Raw genomic sequence first — 23593 nt, 5'->3', positions numbered from 1 at the left:
GAGGGGGGAGGGGAAGGGAGGGGAGGGGATGTACACATCTACGTATCCATCTATGCATGCATCCATCCACCCATCCACCTATGTATCTGTTCATCCATTTATCCATCCATCCACCCACCTATCCACACATCCTTTCATCCACTTATCCATCCATCCATATACCATCCATGGAGGGGAGGGGAGGGGATAGGTGGAGGGGGTGGGGGAAGGGAGGGGGACAAAAGATGAGGGGATGGGAGGGGGATGGGAAGGGAGGGGGTGGGGTGGGGGGGAAGGGGAAGGGAGGGGAAGGGAAAGGAAGGGAAGGGAGGGGAGGGAAGGGGGAGGGGAGGGAAGGGGGAGGGGAGGGGGAGGGGAGGTGGGGAGGAGGAGGGGAGGGGAGGAAAGGGAAGGGGGAGGGGGAGGGGAGGGAGGAGGGGGTGGGGGAGAGGCAGAAGGGAAGGGAGGGGAGGGGAGGGGATGGAGGGGAGGGGAGAGGGGAGGGGGAGGGGAAGTGAAAGGAAGGGAAGGGAGGGGAGGGGAGGGGGAAGGGGAGGGGAGAGGGGGAAGGGGAGGGGAGAGGGGAGGGGAGGGGAAGGGAAAGGAAGGAAAGAGAGGGGAGGGGAAGGGGGAGGGGAGGGGAGTGGGGAGGGAATGGAGGGGAGGGGAGGGGAGGGGGAGGGAGGGAAGGGAATGGAGGGGAGGGGGAGGAGATGGGGGAGGGGGAGGGAAGGGGAGGGCTCAGCTCAGCAGTGTGCGTGGCAGTCCTGATCCTGGATTGATTGTGTGTGTGTGTGTGTGTGTGTGTGTGTGTGTTCTTGACAAGTGTATCTTTGAAAATCAACTGTCACTGTGCTTCCTGCCTGTAATCATTTCCCTAGTTTCCTTTCTGACTTTTTAAAATCGATGGTGACCTCTGCTTATGAGTCATGAGTGATCTGTTCGTTGTAGGTCCCTGAGGACCTCACTCTCCACTCCTGTTTCAGGCATGGGGCGGCTGGTTCTGCTGTGGGGAGCTGCCGTCTTTCTGCTGGGAGGCTGGATGGCTTTGGGGCAAGGAGGAGCAGGTAATTATTTAAACACCCTCTTCTTGTTGTATTTTGGTTTGTGGTTTGCTTTGCAACCAGGCACTCTTTATTTTGTAAAACTTAAACAATGAGCATGGAGGTTTCTTTCTTCTTTTCTTTTTTTTTTTTTTTTTTTTCCGGGTTCAAGCAATTCTCCTGCCTCAGCTTCTCAAGTAGCTGGGACAAAACATATTTATAAGTAAATACATGAATATTAAGTATACTTATTGCTCCCGGAATATCCACTGCTTATATGAGCTTTCGGTGGCCAGAACTAGGAACTGTATGTGTGCGTGTGTGTGTCTATCTATTGATTGATTGATTGGTAGATATATTCATTTTTAATCTATCCATCAATGTATCTCATCTATCTTTTCCCATTAATCACCCATCCATCCACTATCCATCCATCTATTATTCATTGATCCATCCACTAATATATCCATCCACCCATCTATCAAACGATTCATCCACTCATACATTCACCCACCCATCAACCCACCCAGCCATCCGTCCACCCAACCTTTCATTCACTCATCCATCCATCCACCATCCACCCAGCTGTTATCTATCCATCCTCCCATCCACCCATCTATCATCCATCCATCCATCCATCCACCCATCCACCCATCCATCCACCAATACATCCATCCATCCATCCACCCATCCACCCATCCATCTACCAATACATCCATCCATCCATGCATTCACCCACACTTTTATCCACTTATCCATCCATCCATCCATCCACCCATCCATCCACCAATACATCCATCTATCCATGCATTCACCCACACTTTTATCCACTTATCCATCCATCCATCCATCCATCCACCCATCCACCCATCCATCCACCAATACATCCATCCATCCATGCATTCACCCACACTTTTATCCACTTATCCATCCATCCATCCATCCACCCATCCATCCACCAATACATCCATCTATCCATGCATTCACCCACACTTTTATCCACTTATCCATCCATCCATCCATCCACCCATCCATCCACCAATACATCCATCTATCCATGCATTCACCCACACTTTTATCCACTTATCCATCCATCCATCCATCCATCCACCCATCCACCCATCCATCCACCAATACATCCATCTATCCATGCATTCACCCACACTTTTATCCACTTATCCATCCATCCATCCATCCATCCATCCATCCATCCATCCATCCACCCATCCACCCATCCACCCACCAATACATCCATCTATCCATGCATTCACCCACACTTTTATCCACTTATCCATCCATCCATCCATCCATCCATCCATCCACCCATCCATCCACCCACCCACCCATCCATGTACACATCTACGTATCCATCTATCCATGCATCCATCCATCCATCCATCCATCCATCCATTCACCTATGTATCTGTTCATCCATTTATTTATCCACTGACTCACTCATCCACCCACCCATCCTTTCATCCACTTATCCATCTATCCATCCATCCACCAACACATCCATCCACCCACCCATCAAACCATCCATCCACCTATGCATTCACCCACACTTTCATCCACTCATCCATCCATCCATCCACCCATCCATGTACACATCTATGTATCCATCTATCCATGCATCCATCCACCCATCCACCCATTCACCTGTGTATCTGTTCATCCATTTATTCATCCATCCACTCACCCATCCACCCACCCATCCACTTGTCTTCCACCTATACACCCACCTGTCCATTGATTCATCCATCTACCTACCCATCCCTATCTATCTGTGTCTGTCTGTCTAACTATTTCTATCATCATCTATATAATTCTATCTATCTAACATTACCATTTATCTATCTATCTGTATCTATCTATCCTCCAGATACCTCCACTTAGAACCCAACATGACAAGGTTCACTGTACCCCATCTTTCCAAACCTGTAACTGACTTCTTTGACAGTGAGAGACTTGGCCGGGCGCTGTGGCTCATGCCTGTAATCCCAGCACTTTGGGAGGCCGAGGTGGGCGGATCACAAGGTCAGGAGATGGAGACCATCCTGGCTAACACGGTGAAACCCCGTCTGTACTAATACAAAAAATCAGCCGGGCATGGTGGCAGGTGCCTGTAGTCCCAGCTACTTGGGAGGCTGAGGCAGGAGAATGGCATGAACCCGGGAGGCAAAGCTTGCAGTGAGCCGGGATCGCACCACTGCACTCCAGCGTGGGCGACAGAGCGAGACTCTGTCTCAAAATAAAAAAAAGAGACTTGGCTTTCATTATGCAAAATATCATTACATGTTTGCTCAATTCTAAAATATTTCCATTGTCCCTGTTCGGAATTACAAACCCAGACCTCTTGAAACATCAAACCTACTGAAGTCTATGCAACCTTCCTAGCAAACGTAGAAAGTCTTCTTTACGGTTGGCCCATTTCTTTTCTTTTCTTTTCTTTTCTTTTCTTTTCTTTTTTTTTTTTGATAGGGAGTCTTGCTGTGTCACCCAGGCTGGAGTGCAGTGACACGATCTCGGTTCACTACAACCTCTGCCTCCTGAGTTCAAGCCATTCTCCTGCCTCAGCCTCCCAGGTAGCTGGGATTACAGGTACCCACCACCATGTCCAGCTCATTTTTTTGTGTTTTTAGTAGAGACGGGGTTTCACCATGTTGGCCAGGCTGGTCTCGAACTCCTGACCTCGGGTGATCCACCCGCCTCGGCCTCCCAGTGTTAAGATTACAGACGTGAGCCGCTGCACCTGGCCAGTCCATTTCTGAAGTTGGTGTGTGTGGTGTTTTGAGAAAGACAGTAAGGTGGATCGATGGGGACAGTTTCCGATGCCACCTTAGGTATCCACAGGGGATGTGTTGTTGGATACATGATTGATCTATACAGATACATCTGTGCATGGCACTAGTGGGTGAACTTACCTTTTGCAAAAACAAAAACAAAAGCAGCCGGGCGCGGTGGCTCACGCCTGCAATCTCAGCACTTTAGGTGGATGAGGCGGGCGGATCACGAGGTCAGGAGATCGAGACCATCCTGGCTAACACAGTGAAACCCCATCTCTACTAAAAGTACAAAAAATTATCCAGGCATGGTGGCGGGCACCTGTAGCCCCAGCTACTCGGGAGGCTGAGGCAGGAGAATGGCGTGAACCCGGGAGGCGGAGCTTGCAGTGAGCCGAGATTGCGCCACTGCAGTCCAGCCTGGGTGACAGAGTGAGAGTCTGTCTCACACAATACACTACACTACACTACACTACACTACACTACACTACACTACACTACAATACAATGCAATACAATGCAATACAATACGTCAGGCGCGGTGGCTCACGCCTGTAATCCCAGTACTTTGGGAGGCCGAGGCGGGTGGATCATGAGGTCAGGAGATCGAGACCATCCTGGCTAACACGGTGAAACCCCGTCTCTACTAAAAATACAAAAAATTAGCCAGGTGTGGTGACAGGTGCCTGTAATCCCGGCTACTCGGGAGGCTGAGGCAGGGGAATCGCTTGAACCCGGGAGGCGGAGGTTGCAGTGAGCCGAGATCGTGCCATTGTACTCCAGCCTGGGCAACAGAGTGAGACTCTGTCTCAAAAAGAAAAATAAATTTAAAAAAATAAAAAAATAGAGTTGCCTCACCGTGAACTTCATGCGTCTCTCTGTGTCTAGCAGAAGGAGTACAGATTCAGATCATCTACTTCAATTTAGAAACCGTGCAGGTGACATGGAATGCCAGCAAATACTCCAGGACCAACCTGACTTTCCACTACAGGTAAGTGGCCCCCAGAAAGCGAACCCCACGCCCAGGGGGCTCAAAATCGCTCTTCTGAGCCGTCAGCGATTGGGAATGCTTGAGAACAAAAGTGTAAAGCATCAGACTGTGCAAGCCGGAATGTTTGTTCTGTGAAACCCTCAGCCCTCACCACAACCACAATCTCATTGCCCCAAACCTTCTTGCCAAGGGATGGCTGACTCACTGTCAAAATCAACTACATTCTTTTTTTTGTTTGTTTTTATTTTGAGTCGGAGTCTCACTCCGTTGCCACGCTGGAGTGCAGTGGCGCAATCTCGGCTCACTGCAACCTCTGCCTCCCGGGTTCAAGCCATTCCCCTGCCTCAGCCTCCCGAGTAGCTGGGATTACAGGCACCTGCCACCATGCCTAGCTAATTTTTGTATTTTTAGTAGAGATGGTGATTCACCATATTGGTCAGGCCGGTTTCAAACTCCTGACCTCATGTGATCCACCTGCCTCAGCCTCCCAAAGTGCTGGGATGACAGGCGTGAGCCACGGCATCCGGACTGAAAATCACCTAGATTCTTCACGGGAGATTAACAGAGAGTTTTGTTCACCCAGAGCTCTGGGTGAACTTTAAGTCTTATCTGCTAGGCAGCCGGGGAGGGAAAGACTCAGTCTCTGAAACATTTCACAGCCTTACCCGGGGCTACCCCCAACCCTGTGTCTCCCTGATGTGACTTTATTTTTATTTTTACTTTGGCTTAGTTAGACACCCAGAAGTATGCGTACGAACATTGCAGGAAGGGTTTTTCCAATAAATTTAATCATGGGTGGATGATTCTTCAGTTTGATAACAAAAGAGATAAACGGCAAAGCGTACAGAACAGGGAAATTTTAAAACGAAGTTATTTGGAAAATAAGACTCACCGTTGGGAGACCGAGGTGGGTGGATCATCTGAGATCAGGAGTTCCAGACCATCCTGGCCAACATGGTGAAACCCCAACTCTACTAAAAATACAAAAACTAGCCGGGCGTGGCGGCAGGTGCCTGTAATCCCAGCTACTCAGGAGGCTGAGGCAAGAGAATCGCTTCAACCTGGGAGACGGAGTTCACGGTGAGCCGAGATTGCACTCCAGCCTGGCCGACAGAGCGAGACTGTCTCAAAAACAAAACAAAACAAAACAAAAACCTCACAAAAAGAAAAAAAAAAGTGCTGGATTTTGCACGTAGTTGCAGAATTCAGCTCAGTTTCTTCCTCTGTAAAAGGGGCAGTTCTTGGGGGGGGTGTTGGCTCATGCCTGTTATCCCAGCACTTTGGGAGGCTGAGGGGGGGGGGGGTGGATCACCTGAGGTCAGGAGTTCAAGACCAGCCTGGCCAACATGGTGAAACCTCGTCTCTACTAAAAATACAAAAAAATTAGCCGGGCGCGGGGGCGTGCGCCTGTAATCCCAGCAACTTGGGAGGCTGAGGCAGGAGAATCGCTTGAATCCGGGAGGCAGAGGTTGCAGTGGGCCGAGATCACGCCATTGCACTCCAGCCTGGGCAACAAGAACAAAACTCTGTTTCAAAAAACAAACGAACAAATAAAAAAACGGCCGGGCGCGGTGGCTCACGCCTGTAATCCCAGCACTCTGGGAGGCCGAGGCGGGTGGATCACCTGAGGTCAGGAGATCGAGACCAGCCTGGTCAACATGGCGAAATCCCATCTCTATTAAAAACACAAAAATTAGCTGGGGGTGGTGGTGCGTGCCCGTAATCCCAGCTACTCAGGAGGCAGAGGCAGGAGAATCGCTTGAACCCGGGAGGCAGAGATTGCAATGAGCCGAGATCGTGCCACTGCACTCCAGCCTCAGGGACAGAGCGAGACACCATCTTAAAAAAAAAAAAAAAAAAAAAGCCGGTGTGGTAGCTCACACCTCTCATTCCAGCAGTTTGGGAGGCCAAGGTGTATGGATCACCTGAGGTCAGGAGTTCCAGACCAGCCTGGCCCCAACATGGTGAAACCCTGTCTCCAGTAAAACTACAAAAATTAGCTGTATATGGTGGCAGGTGCCTGTAATCCCAGCTACTCAGGAGGCTGAGACAGGAGAATTGCTTGAACCCGGGAGGCAGAGGTTGCAGTGAGCTGAGATCGCGCCATTGCACTCCAACCTGGGCGACAAGAGCAAGACCCCATCTCTAAATAAATAAGACATGCTTTTTTGTTTTGTTGCTGAATGGTCATCGTTTTAAACCACAGATTCAACGGTGATGAGGCCTATGACCAGTGCACCAACTACCTTCTCCAGGAAGGTCACACTTCGGGGTGCCTCCTAGACGCAGAGCAGCGAGACGACATTCTCTATTTCTCCATCAGGAATGGGACGCACCCCGTTTTCACCGCAAGTCGCTGGATGGTTTATTACCGTAAGTATTGTAAAGCCAGCTCACCATGCTTTTCAGTACTTCCTTCAGCTTATTACCACAAGGACTGAAAACCAAGCTCATGCAAATCGCCGGATCCATGATTACCGTTAACTATTGAGAAGCAAGCTCACCATGCCTTTCAGTACTTCCTGCAGCTTATTACTGTAAGTAACGAAAAACCAAGCTCCAGCCAGTCGCGGGATCAATGATTCCCGTAACTATTGAAAAGGAAGCTCAGCATAGTTTTCAGTACTTCCTTCAGCTTATTACCGTAAGTACTGAAAAGCTCACGTAAATCGTCGGATCCATGATTACCGTAATAATTGAAAAGCAAGCTCAGCACGCTTTTCACTACTTCCTTCAGCTGATTACCGTAAGTACCGAAAAGCAATCTCATGATAGTCGCTGGATCAATGATTACCGTAACCACTGAAAAGCAACCCAGCCTACTTTTCGCTACTTCCTTCAGGTTATTACCATAAGTACTGAAAAGCTCATGCAAATTACCGGATCCATGATTACCATAACTATTGAAAAGCAAGCTCACCATGCTTTTCGTACTTCCTTCAGCTTATTACCATAAGTACTGATAAAGCAAGCTCATGCAAGTCACTGGATCAGTGATTACCGTAGCTATTGAAAAGCAAGCTCACCATGCTTTTCAGTACTTCCTTCAGCTTATTACCATAAGTACTGAAAAGCAAGCTCTAGCAAGTCGCAGGATCAGATTCCCGTAACTATTGAAAAGCAGCCCAGCATCCTTTTCACTACTTCCTTCAGCTTATTGCCATAAATAAAAAAGCTCATGCAAATAACCGGATCCATGATTACCGTAACTATTGAAAAGCAAGCTCAACATGCTTTTCAGTATTTCCTTCAGCTTATTACCATAAGTACTGAAAAGCAAGCTCTCGCAAGTCGCGGGATCAATGATTACCATAACAATTGAAAAGCAAGCTCAGCATGCTTTTCAGTACTTCCTTCAGCTGATTATCATAAGTACCGAAAAGCAAGCTCTCGCAAGTCGCGGGATCAATGATTACCGTAACGATTGAAAAGCAATCCCAGCACACTTTTCAGTACCCCTTCATCTCCTTACCTTCAGTTACTTTCAGTTAAGTTCTGAAAATCAAGCTCATGGACCATTGGCCACTAGAGCCCGGTGCCCAGCTCCTCACTCCAAGTGGGAAGAAACCGGCCTTCCAGGAAGTTCCCTCTTACACGCACACTGGTTGGGGATTGAATCTGCCCCCAGTGGGGAGACCAGATGACCCCGGGAGACTGTGATTTAAGGGAATGAATTAAAGGCGGGGCGCGGTGGCTCACGCCTGTAATCCCAGCACTATGGGAGGCCAAGGCGGGCGGATCACTTGAGGTCTGGAGTTCGAGACCAGCCTCACCAACATGGTGAAACCCCATCTCTACAAACAAACAAACAAACAAAAAATTAGCCGGGCTGGTGGCGCATGCCTGTAATCCTAGCTGTTCGGGAGGCTGAGGCAGGGAAATTGCTTGAACCTGGGAGGCAGAGGCTGCAGTGAGCCACGTTGGTGCCACTGCACTCCAGCCTGGGCGATTTATAAATTCATTATTTAAAAATAAATAAGGCCCAGGGTGGTGGCTTACCCCTGTAATCCCGGTACTTTGGGAGACCAAGGCGGGCGGATCACTTGAGGTCTGGAGTTCGAGACCAGCCTTGCCAACGTGGTGAAACCCCGTCTCTATTAAAAATAATTTAAAAAAAATTAGCCAGGCGTGGTGGCACACGCTTGTAATCCCAGCTACTCGGGAGGCTGAGGCAGGGAAATTGCTTGAACCCGGGAGGCGGAGGCTGCAGTGAGCCAAGACGGTGCCACTGCACTGCAGCCTGGGCGATTTATAAATTTATTATTTAAAAATAAATAAGGCCCAGGGCGGTGGCTCTCCCCTGTAATCCCAGTACTTTGGGAGGCCAAGGCAGGGGGATCACGTGACGTGGGGAGTTCGAGACCAGCCTGACCAACATGGAGAAACTCCATCTCTATTAAAAATACATAATTAGCCGGGCTTGGTGGTGCATGCCTGTAATCCCAGCTACTCGGGACGCTGAGGCAGGAGAATCTCTTGAATCTGGGAGGCGGAGTTTGTGGTGAGCCGAGATCGCGCCATTGCACTCCAGCCTGGACAACAAGAGTGAAACTCCATCTCAAATAAATAAATTCATTAAATTAAATAAGGGAATTAATTAGAGATGCTCTCTGGTGCCCTGCCTACACACACACACACACACACACACACACACAGAGTGAGCTGGAAATACTCTCTCATCCTCATCCCACTCACTGGATGTTCTCTCTTTTTTTTGAGAGAGAGGGTCTTGCTCTGTTGCCCAGGCTGGTTTTCTTATGTGCGTTGAGAACTGGCTGTTAAGTCTCGGGCGAGGAAATGAGGGACAAATGTAGGGAAACCCTGTTTCCAAAATGTTTATTCTTTATCCTAGAATTCTGTAAGGCTGGGTTTCTTTTTTACTTTTTTATTTTTTAGAGGTAGGGGAAACGGATCTGTTTGAGAATCCGGTGAGAACTATGAACTCTTTATTCGCGAAATTACTTACAGATACTGGGTGCGTTTCCTGGGCTATAATAGGTCACCACAAACTGGAGGCTTAAAACAGCAGAAATTTATTCTCTCCCAGTTTTGAAGCCCATGAGTCTGAGATGGAGATTTCTGAGAGCCGCATTCCCTCTGGAGGTTCTAAGGGAGGATCCTTCCTGCCTCTCCCAGCTCCTGGGGGCTCCAGGTGTCCCTGGGCTTGTGGCCGCATCACTCCAGTCTCTGCCTCCGTCTCCATGTGGCCTTCTCCTCTGTGTCTCCTCTTCTGTCTCTTACAAGGGCACCTGTCATTAGATTTAGGGGACACCCTACTCCAGGATGATCTCACCTCAAGGTCCTTCACCTAATTACATCTGCAGAGAGCCTATTTCCAAATCCGGTCTCATTCCAGGTCCTGGGCTTTAGGATGTGGACAGATGTTTCTGGGGGCCACTGTTCCATTCAGTATAATTATATTCAGTTCCTTCCAGGGTTCTAGGGGAGGCTCCTTCCTACCTCTCCCAGCTCCTGGGGGCTCCAGGCATCCCTGGGCTTGTGGCCCCATCACTCCAGTCTCTGCCTCCGTCTCCACGTGGCCTCCTCCTCTGTGTCTGCATCTCCTCCTCTGTCTCCGAGAAGGACACCTGTCATTGGATTTAGAACCCTTCCTTCTCCAGTATGACCTCATCCTAACTAACTGAATCTATAATGATCCTAACTAACTGAATCTATAATGATCCTTTTTTTTTTTTTTTTTTTTTTTTTTGAGATAGTCTCGCTCTGTCACCCAGGCTGGAGGGCAGTGGTTCAATCTCGGCTCACCGCAACCTCCGCCTCCCCGGTTCAAGCGATTCTCCTGCCTCAGCCTCACTAATAGCTGGGATTACAAGCGCTGGCCACCATGCCTGTATTTTTAGTAGAGACGGGGTTTTAGCATATTGGCCAGGCTGGTCTCGAACTCCTGACTTCAGGTGATCCACCCGCCTCGGCCTTCTAAAGGATCTTATTTTTAAATACAGTTCCATTCTGAGTTTCTGGGGAGTTGGGATTTTAACATATATTTTTGTGGGGGACTTAATTTAGCCCGTAACAGACACACAGGACATTTTCCGCAGAATTTTAGAGAGTTCCTTCCTTCACAAACCTACAGGTTCTCGGAGCTCTGGTGGAAGCTTCTCCTATAAAAGTAATGAGGACGGGTGAACCCCGAGACACCATAAGGTATTAAGGGGAGGAGGGGTACAGGCTAGAGAAAGGGGATGAGGTCAGCCTGTCACAATCAGCTCAGAGAGGAGGGACGTCGCTTCCGTTATTTCTTCTTCTCAGTGAAACCCAGTTCCCCGAAGCACGTGAGATTTTCGTGGCATCAGGATGCAGTGACGGTGACGTGTTCTGACCTGTCCTACGGGGATCTCCTCTATGAGGTTCAGTACCGGAGCCCCTTCGACACCGAGTGGCAGGTGAGCCGGGCGGCCGCGACTCAGGGCGATGGTGGCTGAGCGTCCCCCAGGTGCGGGCTGTGGGATTCGCTGTTTCATCAGACCTCGCTCCCCTCTGTCTACACCTTCCTGAATTCCACTCTGCTGTATCTTCCTGAGAGAGCTCTAGTCCAGCTTGGCTTTTTCATGTTTCTCTCTGTGTCTCTGAGGGGTCTCCAGAGAAAGAGAACCAATAATATGTCTGTCTGTCTGTCTATCAATCTATTTATCTATCTATCTATCAATCTATCTATATCATTCTATTTTATCTCTACCTCTATCTATGTATCTATATCATTCTATTTCCCTCTCTTTCAATCTATCATCTATCTATCTCATTCTATTTTATCTCTATCCCTGTCTTTCAATCTATCTCATTCTATTTTATCTCTATCTCTGTCTTTCAATCTATCATCTATTTTATCTATTAACTCTCTTTGTTCTATCTATCTCTCTATGGCTCTATCCATATCTATTTTATCTACCAACTCTCTTTTATCTATCTATGTATGGTCAATCTTCTATATATATCATCCCTATCTCTATGTAGTTCAACTATCTATCATCTCTATCTAACTACCTACCCATTATCTCTATTCTACCATCTACTATCTTATCTATGTATTTATCTATCTATGTATGTATCTATACATCTATCATCTATCCGTCTCTATCTATCTAAGTATCATCTATCTATCTACTCTGTATCATCTGTCTGTCTGTCTCTCTATCTAATGTATCATCTATTTATCTCTCTATCATCTGTCTATGTATCATCTATCTCTCTATCATTGCTCTATCATCTATGTATCATCTATCTCTCTCTCATCACTCTATCATCTATGTATCATCTATCTCTCTCTCATCGCTCTATCATCTATGTATCATCTATCTATCTCTCTATCATCTGTCTATGTATCATCTATCAACTCTGTCATCTCTCTGTTTTATCTATGTATCTATCATTTCTTTATCTGTCTACCTCTAGTCCTATCTCTACCTGTATCTCTACACACCTGTCTCTCTACACACACACACACACAGACACACAAACACAGGCACACAGGCACACACAGACATGCACAGACACACACAGACACACACAGGCACACACACACAGTCATGTGCTGCCTAACGACCTGTTGGTCATCAGCAGACTGCATGTACCACGGTAGTCTCCTATGATTATCACACAGCTGTCCTATGCAGCTGTCCCAATTATTTTCTTCTATACCATATTTTTCCTGTACCTTCTCTATGTTTAGATACACAAATACTTACCCTTGCATTAGGTTTGTCTGCAGTATTCAGTACAGTAACATGCTGTATGGGTGTGTAGCTGAAGAGCAATTTACTATACAGCCTAGATGTGCAGCAGGCTAGACCAGCTAGGTGTGTGTAAGTAAACTCTAGAATATTCTCATAATGAAGAAATCACCTCACAATGCATTTCCCAGAACATGTCCCCATCGTTAAGCAATGCATGACTGTATATCTACCTATATGTGTGTGTACACACACACATATACACACACATATATGTACGTACCTTGTGTACACAGCTTATATATACATATATACACATGCATATACACACATATAGATACACAGCTTATATACACACATATATACATACCTTATCTATGCATATTTATACACACGTATATACACATCTTATATACACACACATATACACACACACACAGCTTATATACACATATATATACCCACACATATATACATACCTTATATATGCATATTTATACACACGTATATACACATCTTATATACACACATATATACACACACACAGCTTATATACACATATATATACCCACACATATATACACAGCTTATATACACGTATATATATGTATATATGCACCTTATATACACAGCTTATATACACATATTTATACACACGTATACACACACCTTATATAAACACATATACACACATATACACAGCTTATATACACATATACACACACATATATACATACCTTATATACACATATTTATACACATGTACATACACATCTTATATACACACATATATATACACACATATGTGCACAGCTTATATACACGTATATATACACATATATATGCACCTTATATACACAGCTTATATACACATATTTATACACACGTATACACACACCGTATATACACACACATACACACATATACACAGCTTATATACACAGCTTATATACAGGTATATATACACACATGTATATACACACATGTATAGATACACAAACTTTATATATATACACACACAGCTTATATACAATACATATACACATATATACACACCTTATATACACACATATATACACACACATATATACAGAGCTTATATACACAGCTTATATACACATATATATACACACGTATATACACACCTAATATACACAGCTTATATATACACATATATACACACCTTACATACACAGCTTATATATACACATATATACACACACATATAGATACATAGCTTATATATACACATATATACACATCTTATATACATAGCTTCTATACACACAGATATACACACACCTTATACACACAACTTATATATACACAATTATATATACACACCTTATATATACAGCTTATATATACACACATATATAAATATACATATAGAGATATCTTATTGGTACATATATCTACAAACATATATAAACTATATATGTATAAACTGATACATAGAATAGAACATTCATCTGTATCTTTATATCCATTTATATCTGTAAAGATATGTAGATACAGGCTGGATGCAGTGGCTCACACCTTTAATCCCAGCACTTTGGGAGGCCGAGGAGGGTGGATCACCTGAGGTCAGGAGTTCAAGACCAGCCTGGCCAACGTGGTGAAACCTCATCTCTACTAGAAATACAAAAATTAGCCAAGCATGGTGGTGCCTGTAATCCGAGCTACTCGGGAGGCTGAGGCACAAGAATTGCTTGAACCCGACAGGCAGAGGTTGCAGTGAGCCGAGACCGCACCACTGCACTCCAGCCTGGGCAACAGAGCAAGACTCTGTCTCAGTAAATAAATAAATAATATATTAAAATAATAATAAAGTAAATACAGGCCAGGCACAGTGGCTCATGCCTGTAATCCCAGTACTGTTGGAGGCCAAGGCAGGAGGATCGCTTGAGCCCAGGAGTTGTTGACCAGCTTGGGCAACAGAGTGAGACCCCATCTCTTTTTCTTTTTTTAGACACAGTCCCGCTCTGTCACCCAGGCTGGAGTGCAGTGGTGCGATCTCTGCTTGCTACAACCTTCGCCTCCCAGGTTCAAGCGATTCTCCTGCCTCAGCCTCCCAAGTAGCTGGGATTACAGGCACCCGCCACCACGCCTGGCTAATTTTTGTATTATCAGTAGAGACGGGGTTTCTCCATGTTGGCCAGGCTGGTCTCGAACTTGCGACCTCAGGTGATCCACCCGCCTCAGCCTCCCAAAGCGTTGGGTTTACAGGAGTGAGCCACTGTGTCCGGCCTCGCGGCTCCATTCTTGAAGTCAGCGAGACTGTGAACCCTCCGGAAGGAAAACTCTGGACAGACAGGTTACATCACTAATCATTGTGTGTGTGTGTGTGTGTGTGTGTGTGTGTGTGTGTGTGTGTGTGTATGTTTCTCCAGTCCAAACAGGAAAATACCTGCAACGTCACCATAGAAGGCTTGGATGCCGAGAAGTGTTACTCTTTCTGGGTCAGGGTGAAGGCTATGGAGGATGTATATGGGCCAGACACATACCCAAGCGACTGGTCAGAGGTGACATGCTGGCAGAGAGGCGAGATTCGGGGTAATGCTTGTTACGCGGCAGTGTCCCATAGCCTTGTCACCAGGCTGGAGTAGGCATAGCCACTGCCTTCCCGGGAGGTGGGAGGGAGGGTGTCCTGCCTTCGAGGTGGGAGGGAGGGTGTCCTGCCTTCCTGGGAGGTGGGAGGGAGGGTGTCCTGCCTTCGAGGTGGGAGGGAGGGTGTCCTATCTTCCCGGGAGGTGGGAGGGAGGCTGTCCTGCCTTCGAGGTGGGAGGGAGGGTGTCCTGCCTTCCTGGGAGGTGGGAGGGAGGGTGTCCTGCCTTCCTGGGAGGTGGGAGGGAGGGTGTCCTGCCTTCCTGGGAGGTGGGAGGGAGGGTGTCCTGCCTTCGAGGTGGGAGGGAGGGTGTCCTGCCTTCCTGGGAGGTGGGAGGGAGGGTGTCCTGCCTTCGAGGTGGGAGGGAGGGTGTCCTGCCTTCCCAGGAGGGTGTGTCTGAGCAAGCTCAGCCTTCTGTCATCCTCCAGGGCCCCATCTGAAAGTAATTCCTCTCCTTGTTTCATTCTCGGGCTGCTTTCACTTGGGAGAGTTTTCTTTCTTTTGTTTTTTTGAGAAACATTCTCATGGTGCCCAGGCTGGAGTGCAGTGGCGCGATCTCGGCTCCCTGCAACATCTGTCTCCCACGTTCAATCGATTCTCCCGCCTCAGCCTCCCGAGTGCCTGGGATTACAGTGTACACGCCACCACACCTGATTAAATCTTTTTATTTTTTATTTTTTTATTTTTATTTTTTTTTAGAGGGAGTCTCAGTCTGTGGTCCAGGCTGGAGTTCAGTGGCACGGTCTTGGCTCACTGCAACCTCCGCCTCCCGAGTTCAAGTGATTCTCCTGCCTCAGCCTCCCAAGTAGCTGGGACTACAGGCACGCACCACCAAGCCCGCCTAATGTTTGTATTTTTAGTAGGGATGGCGTTTCCCCATATTGGCCAGGCTGGTCTCGAACTCCTGACCTTGTGATCCGCCCGCCTCGGCCTCCCAAAGTGCTGGGATTAAAGGCGTGAGCCACCGCGCCCGGCCTTTGACGTATGTTTTCAGGGGGCATGATTTAAGGAGCACAGCCACCAACACACGAAAGCAAGCTCTCATATGCTGTAAACACCTCCAGCAACCAGAAGCCTCCAAAGGCTACATGTTGGACCTGCCCTTACTTCCTCGGGGTGGCTGTGGGATGTGTTGTTGTCCAGAGACACGGTGTCTCTTTCCAGGATATTTTCCATAGGAATGAAAATTTGCTGACACTAACATTCATTAAAAAAAAAAAATAGGTCCATCTCTACTAAAAATACAAAAATTAGCCCGGTGTGGTGGCGGATGCCTGTCATCCCAGCTGCTCGGGAGGCTGAGACAGGAGAATCGCTTGAGTCCGGGAGACGGAGGTTGCAGTGAGCTGAGATGGAGCCACTGCACTCCAGCCTGGGCAACAGAGTGAGGTTCTGTCTCAAAAAAAAAAAAAAAAAGTAAAAGATTTGCTGACACGAATATTTACAAAAAACAAAAACAAAACAAAAAACAAACAACGAGAACCAAGAAAAAAAAACGAACACCAAAAAATGAGGGAGACTGGTTAGGGATGAGATGTAACATCACGTTGAAAACGTACAGCCGCACGTCATGTTGAAAACTGACAGCCGCCTTTTCATTTTGTTTCAGATGCCTGTGCAGAGACACCAACGCCTCCCAAACCAAAGCTGTCCAAATTTATTTTAATTTCCAGCCTGGCCATCCTTCTGATGGTGTCTCTCCTCCTTCTGTCTTTATGGAAATTATGGAGGTAAGGATGACTCCTGCCGCCCGTGGGTGGAGGGACCTGCTTGCACAATGTCTGTGAAGTACGAAAAAAGATTAATCGCCTGATAGAGTCATTTCCCTGGGCCTCAGTTTCCATACAATGCCCACTCTTCTGATGGTGGATTATAAGAAATTTCGGAGGGGCTGGGCATGGTGGCTCACACCTGTCATCCCAGCACTTGGGGAGACCAAGGCAGGCAGATCACGAGGTCACGAGTTCGAGACCAGCCTGGCCAATATGGTGAAATCCCATCTCTACTAAGAATACAAAAATTAGGGTCAGGCACGGTGGTTCACGCCTGTAATCCCAGTATTTTGTGATGCCAAGGCAGGTGAATCATAAGGTCAAGAGATCGAGACCATCCTGGCCAACATGGTGAAACCCCGTCTCTAATAAAAATACAAAAAGTAGCCGGGTGTGGTGGCGTGCACCTGTAATCCCAGCTACTCGGGAGGCTGAGGCAGGAGAATTGCTTGAACCTGGGAGTCGGAGCTTGCTGTGAGCGGAGATTGCGCCACTGCACTCCAGCCTGGGCGACAGAGCGAGACTCTGTCTCAAAAAAAAAAAAAAAAAATTAGCCCTGCCGGGTGTGGTGGCTCATGTCTGTAATCCCAGCACTTTAGGAGGCCGAGGCAGGTGGATCACCTGAGGTCAGGAGTTCGAGACCAGCCTGGCCAACATGAAGAAACCCCACCTCTACTAAAAATATAAAAATTAGCCGGGTGTATAATTATATATATTTATATTTATATATAATTATATATATAAATATATAAAAATATATATAATATATATTTAATTTATATATAAAATATATATAAATATATTTAATGTAATCTATATAAAAATATATAAATACATATTTAATTTAATCTATATAAAATATATATTTAATTTAATCTATATAAAAATATATAAATATATAATTTAATATATAATATATATAATTTAATATATAATATATAAATATATATAAAATTATATAAATATATATATAATATAAAAATATATATATATTTATAAAAATATAAAAATTAGCACCTGTAGTCCCAGCTGCTCCGGAGGCTGAGGCAGGAGAACCGCTTGAACCCAGGAGGCAGAGGTTGCCATGAGCTGAGATTGCACCATTATACTCCAGCCTGGGCGACAAGGGTGAAACTCTGTCTGAAAAAAAGGAAAAAATAAAATTAGCTGGGCGTAGTAGCGTGCACTTGTAGTCCCAGCTATTTGGGAGGCTGAGGTGGAAGGACGGCTTGAGCCTGGGAGTTTAAGGCTGCAGTGAGCTGTGATTGCACCACTGCACTCCACCCTGGGTGACAGAGCACGATCCTGTCTCTCAAAAAGAAAGCTAAAGAAGTCCAGGTAAGCTGTGCAACTTGGTGAGGGCAGCAAGAAGAATGGTCCAAGATCTAATATTGTCTTTGCTCCATCTCTCACTGAATTTTTGGCTTTGAATCCAGTGAGAGTTCTAGACGAAACAATATTCTTTCAGACCACAGAGAACTTTTCAAAAATGTGAGGTTGAGTCATTTTCTTATTTATTGATTTATTTATTTCTGTATTTATTTTGAGACGGAATCTCACTCTGTCACCCAGGCTGGAGTGCAGTGGCGTGATCTCGGCTCACTGCAACCTCTGCCTCCCGAGTTCAAGCAATTCTCCTGCCTCAGCCTCCCCAGTAGGTGGGAGGTTGAGTCATTTTCTTATATATTTATTTATGTATTTATTTTGAGACTGAGTCTCACTCTGTCACCCAGGCTGGAGTACAGTGGCATGATCTCGGCTCACTGCCACCTCCGCCTCCCAGATTCAAGCAATTCTCCTGCCTCAGCCTCCCGAGTAGCTGGGACTACAGGTGCGCGCCACCACACCTGGCTAATTTTTGTATTTTTAGTAGAGACGGGGTTTCACCGTGTTGGCCAGGCTGGTCTCGAACTCCTGACCTCAGGAGATCCGTCCTCCTCGGCCTCCCAAAGTGCTGGGATGACAGGCGTGAGCCACCACTCCTGGCCAACCTTCTCTTCTTATAAAGACCTCAGCCCTGTTGAAACAGAACCCTCCCTAGTGACCTCATTTTACTATCATCACCTTTTTAGAGACTCCCCATCTCCAAATATAGTCTCGTTGTGAGGTCGGTGATTAGAACTTCAACATAGAAACTTTCAGGAATGAGGGTCCCATTTCAGCCCATCCTATCGACAAGGTGGAAATAATCACATATTTAATGCAAATCTGCTGTGTGCACAGGACGTGGCTCACTGTCCGTCACACCTTATCCTGGTGGGAACTTTTATTTTTTTAAGACTGAGTCTCACTCTGTCACCCAGGCTGGAGTGCAATGGTGTGATCTGGGCTCACTGCAAACTCCACCTCCCAGGCTCAAGCGATTCTCCTGCCTTAGCCTCCCAAGCAGCTGGGACTACAGGCATCTGCCACCACACCCGGCTAATTTTTGTATATTTTGTTTTTTTTGAGACGGAGTCTAGCTCTGTTGCCCAGGCTGGAGAGCACTGGTGTGATCTTGGATCACTGCAGTCTCCGCCTCCCAGGTTCAAGTGATTCTCCTGCCTCAACATCCCAAGTAGCTGGGACTACACGCAGACGCCACCACACCCAGCTAATTTTTGTATTTTTTTTGAGATGGAGTCTCGGTCTGTTGCCCTGGCTGGAGAGCAGTGGCACAATCTCAGATCACTGCAACCTCTGCCCCCCAGGTTCAAGCGATTCTCCTGCCTCAGCATCCCAAGTAGCTGGGATTACAGGCAGACGCCACCATGCCCAGCTAATTTTTGTATTTTTTTGAGACGGAGTCTCGCTCTGTTGCCCCAGCTGGAGTGCAGTGGTGTGATCTCAGCTCACTGCAACCTCTGCCTCCCAGGTTCAAGTGATTCTCCTGCCTCAGCCTCCCGAATAGCTGGGATTACAGGCATCCGCCACCACACCTGGCTAATTTTTGTATTTTTTTTTTTTTTTTTTTTTTGAGATGGAGTCTCGCTCTGTCGCCCAGGCTGGAGTGCAGTGGCGCAATCTCGGATCACTGAAACCTCCACCTCCCGGGTTCACGCCATTCTCCAGCCTCAGCCTCCCGAGTAGCTGGGACTACAGGTGCCCACCACCACGCCCGGCTAATTTTTTTTTGTATTTTTATTAGAGAGGGGATTTCACCATGTTGGCCAGGCTGGTCTCAAACTCCTGACCTCAGGTGATCCATCCGCCTCAGCCTCCCAAAGTGCTGGGATTACAGGCGTGAGCCACCACTCCCGGCCTCCTGATGGGAACTTTATGAGGACCCCAGAGGCAGGGTCCCTGGGGAGCGGGAGGAGACACATGTGTCCATGTGGAAGGCCCCGCTCTGCCATTCTTGGTCTGTCCCTGGGGTCCATGCCCTGTAGGTGCTTCTTGCCAACCCTTCCTGCGGGGCTGTGGCCGACCTGACCACGCTCTCCGTCTCTATTTCAGAGTGAAGAAGTTTCTCATTCCCAGCGTGCCAGACCCGAAATCCATCTTCCCCGGGCTCTTTGAGATACACCAAGGGAACTTCCAGGTATCCGCCCTCTCCTTGTGTCTCTTCTCCTCTCCACCAAGCAGGTGCCCCTCTGCCTGCATTCCTATCTCTCTGAGCGCGACCTTTTTAGAGAATGACATTAACAGCCGGGCGCAGTGGCTCACGCCTGTCATCCCAGCACTTTGGGAGGCCGAGGTGGGAGGCTCACTTCAGGTCAGGAGTTCGAGACCAGCCTGGCCAACATGTGAAACCCCATCTCTACTAAAAATACAAGGATTAGCCGGGCGTGCTGGCTCACTCCTGTAATCCCAGCGACTCTGGAGGCTGAGGCAGGAGAATCGCTTGAACTGTGGAGGCAGAGGTTGCAGTGAGCTGAGATTGTACCACTGCACTCCAGCCTGGGTGACAGAGTGAGACTCTGTCAAGAAAAAAAAAAAGAAGGAAGGAAGGGAAGGAAGGAGGGAGGAAAGGGGGAGAGAGGAAGGAAGGAAAGAAAGAAAGAAAGAAAGAAAGAAAGAAAGAAAGAAAGAAAGAAAGAAAGAAAGAAAAGAAAAGAAAAGAAAAAGAAAGAGAAAAAGAAAGAGAAAGAAAAAAGGAAAGAAAGAAAAAAAGAAAAGGAAGAAAGAAAGAGAGAGAAAGAAGGAAAGAAAGAAAGGAAGAAAGGAAGGAAGAAAGAAAAATGGTTTGATCTCGGCTCACTGCAACCTCCACCTCCCAGGGTCAAATGATTCTCCTGCCTCAGCCTCCTGAGTAGCTGGGATGACAGGCGCCCGCCACCACACCTGGCTAATTTTTTGTATTTTTAGTACAGATGGGTTTTTTCACCATGTTGTCCAGGCTGGTCTCAAACTCAAGTCCACCCACCTTGGCCTCCCGAAGTGCTGGGATGACAGGCGTGAGCCACCGCGCCTGGTTTTTGTGTCCTATGTGTTGATTTTAATGCTGGTCAGCTGTGTCAGAATTTCAAAGGGAAGAGGGTATAAAGAAGCATGTCCAACTCTGACTTCCCATTATGGCTCAAACTAGGTTTTTTTTGTTTTTTTTTTTTTTTTGAGACGGAGTCTCGCTCTGTCGCCCAGGCTGGAGTGCAGTGGCGGGATCTCGGCTCACTGCAAGCTCCACCTCCCGGGTTCACGCCATTCTCCTGCCTCAGCCTCCCAAGTAGCTGGGACTACAGGCGCCCGCCACCACACCCGGCTGATTTTTTGTATTTTTCGTAGAGATGGGGTTTCACCATGTTAGTCGGGATGGTCTCGATCTCCTCACCTCATGATCCACCCACCTTGGCCTCCCAAAGTGCTGGGATTACAGGTGTAAGCCACTGCGGCCGGCTGGCTCAAACTAGGTTTTAACTTAACTTTGGAATCACCTTGGCTGACTGGAGAGTCCGTCAGTCTGTTGGAGGGCTTAGAATTTTATTTTTGGGGGCCAGGCACGGTGGCTCGCACCTTTGGTCCCAGCACTTTGGGAGGTCGAGTCGGGTGGATCACCTGAGGTCGGGAGTTCGAGTCCAGCCTGACCAACATGGTGAAACCCCGTCTCTACTAAAAATACAAAATTAGCCGTGTGTGGTGGTGCACGTCTGTAATCCCAGCTACTCAGGAGGCTGAGGCAGGAGAATCGCTTGAACCGGGTAGGCGGAGGCTGCAGTCAGCCGAGATCACGCCGTTGCACTCCAGCCTGGGAAACAAGAGCGAAATGCCGTCTCAAAAAAAAAAAAATTTATTTTTGGTTTACAAGGGTATTGGTGTCAGAGCTCCTGGATGCCCCAAACAAGAGCTTTGTAGGGGCTTAGACCTCCCAGATGAGAGGGCTTTCCTGTTCCATTGGGAATGGTGTTGTTTCTTGGGAAGAAAGAAAGAGAGAAAGAGAGAAAGAAAGAAAGAGAAAGAAAGGAAAGAAAGAAAGAAGGAAAGAAAGAAAGAAAGAAAGAAAGAAAGAAAGAAAGAAAGAAAGAAAGAGAAAAGAAAAGAAAGAGAGAGAAAGAAAGAGAAAGATGTCCAGGGATGTCTGTGGTGGGTACCGTCTGTACGGATGCTCAGGACGCTGTGTGTGGTGTGTCCACTGTGTTTGAGCTAGAATGTTCTTCCTGGTAGGAGTGGATCACAGACACCCAGAACGTGGCCCACCTCCACAAGATGGCAGGTGCAGAGCAAGAAAGTGGCCCCGAGGAGCCCCTGGTAGTCCAGTTGGCCAAGACTGAAGCCGAGTCTCCCAGGATGCTGGACCCACAGACCGAGGAGAAAGAGGCCTCTGGGGGATCCCTCCAGCTTCCCCACCAGCCCCTCCAAGGCGGTGATGTGGTCACAATCGGGGGCTTCACCTTTGTGATGAATGACCGCTCCTACGTGGCGTTGTGATGGACACACCACTGTCAAAGTCAACGTCAGGATCCACGTTGACATTTAAAGACAGAGGGGACTGTCCCGGGGACTCCACACCACCATGGATGGGAAGTCTCCACGCCAATGATGGTAGGACTAGGAGACTCTGAAGACCCAGCCTCACCGCCTAATGCGGCCACTGCCCTGCTAACTTTCCCCCACATGAGTCTCTGTGTTCAAAGGCTTGATGGCAGATGGGAGCCAATTGCTCCAGGAGATTTACTCCCAGTTCCTTTTCGTGCCTGAACGTTGTCACATAAACCCCAAGGCAGCACGTCCAAAATGCTGTAAAACCATCTTCCCACTCTGTGAGTCCCCAGTTCCGTCCATGTACCATTCCCATAGCATTGGATTCTCGGAGGATTTTTTGTCTGTTTTGAGACAGAGTCTCACTCAGTTGCCCAGGCTGGAGTGCAGTGGCGCGATCTTGGCTCGCTGCAAGCTCTGCCTTCCGAGTTCAAGCGATTCTCCTGCCTCAGCCTCCTGAGTACCTGGGATTATAGCTGCCCGCCACCACGCTCGGCTAATTTTTGTATTTTTAGTAGAGATGGGGTTTCACCACGTTGTCCAGGGTGGTCTTGAACTCCTAACCTCAGGTGATCCACCCGCCTTGACCTCCCAAAGTGCTGGGTTTACAGGCGTGAGCCACTGTCCCCAGCATTTTTTTTTTTTTTTTGAGACGGAGTCTCACTCTGTTGCCCAGGCTGGAGTGCAGTGTCACGATCTCGGCTCACTGCAACCTCCACTTCCCATCAAATGATTCTCCTGCTTCAGCCTCCCGAGTAGCTGGGATTACAGGCGGCCGCCACCACACCCGGCTAATTTTTTTTTTTTAGTAGAGACGGGGTTTCGCCATGTTGGCCA

The 23593-nt window shown here is 47.5% G+C and overlaps 1 protein-coding gene across 4 annotated transcripts, besides 4 other annotated features; it reads left to right on the top strand.

Moving 5' to 3' along the window:
- CRLF2 (cytokine receptor like factor 2) lies at window positions 953-23112 on the top strand. 4 transcript variants are annotated; one of them, NR_110830.2, is made up of 8 exons: window positions 953-1046; window positions 4697-4796; window positions 7003-7169; window positions 11067-11200; window positions 14457-14801; window positions 16702-16822; window positions 20300-20384; window positions 22442-23112. NR_110830.2 is itself a non-coding variant. In XM_011546181.3 (8 exons), exons 1-8 carry the CDS (start codon window positions 968-970, stop codon window positions 22703-22705), a joined length of 1113 nt encoding a protein of 370 aa, XP_011544483.1. In that variant the 5' UTR covers window positions 953-967; the 3' UTR covers window positions 22706-23112. The 4 variants fall into 4 exon arrangements, 3 of the variants coding, with proteins under 3 accessions (XP_011544483.1, NP_071431.2, NP_001012288.2); XM_011546181.3 differs by lacking the exon at window positions 14457-14801 and adding an exon at window positions 14878-15040; NM_022148.4 differs by lacking the exon at window positions 14457-14801 and adding an exon at window positions 14878-15040 and having other exon boundaries at window positions 4694-4796.
- Window positions 7393-8240: an enhancer, noted in NCBI's record as "OCT4-NANOG-H3K4me1 hESC enhancer chrY:1274255-1275102 (GRCh37/hg19 assembly coordinates)". NCBI's record gives its function as "activates a minimal SCP1, AML or CMV promoter by ChIP-STARR-seq in primed H9 embryonic stem cells {active_cell/tissue: H9 hESC(primed)}" and the evidence as "EXISTENCE:reporter gene assay evidence [ECO:0000049][PMID:30033119]".
- Window positions 7393-9090: a biological region, named in NCBI's record as "hESC enhancers GRCh37_chrX:1324089-1324592, GRCh37_chrY:1274255-1275102 and GRCh37_chrY:1273405-1274254".
- Window positions 7903-8406: an enhancer, noted in NCBI's record as "NANOG hESC enhancer chrX:1324089-1324592 (GRCh37/hg19 assembly coordinates)". NCBI's record gives its function as "activates a minimal SCP1, AML or CMV promoter by ChIP-STARR-seq in primed H9 embryonic stem cells {active_cell/tissue: H9 hESC(primed)}" and the evidence as "EXISTENCE:reporter gene assay evidence [ECO:0000049][PMID:30033119]".
- Window positions 8241-9090: an enhancer, noted in NCBI's record as "NANOG-H3K4me1 hESC enhancer chrY:1273405-1274254 (GRCh37/hg19 assembly coordinates)". NCBI's record gives its function as "activates a minimal SCP1, AML or CMV promoter by ChIP-STARR-seq in primed H9 embryonic stem cells {active_cell/tissue: H9 hESC(primed)}" and the evidence as "EXISTENCE:reporter gene assay evidence [ECO:0000049][PMID:30033119]".

Source organism: Homo sapiens, chromosome X, assembly GCF_000001405.40.
Source record: "Homo sapiens chromosome X, GRCh38.p14 Primary Assembly".
Lineage (NCBI taxonomy): Eukaryota > Metazoa > Chordata > Mammalia > Primates > Hominidae > Homo > Homo sapiens.
Note: the sequence above shows the minus strand (reverse complement) of the source record. Positions and strands in the feature narration are given on the sequence as shown.

Excerpts from the sequence above, each read along its gene's own strand:
- CRLF2 (NM_022148.4), top strand. The coding sequence starts at position 968 with ATGGGGCGGCTGGTTCTGCTGTGGGGAGCTGCCGTCTTTCTGCTGGGA. Across the intron at positions 11,201-14,877 it reads CCTTCGACACCGAGTGGCAG|TCCAAACAGGAAAATACCTG; the intron begins GTGAGCCGGGCG and ends ATGTTTCTCCAG. Across the intron at positions 16,823-20,299 it reads TCTTTATGGAAATTATGGAG|AGTGAAGAAGTTTCTCATTC; the intron begins GTAAGGATGACT and ends TCTCTATTTCAG.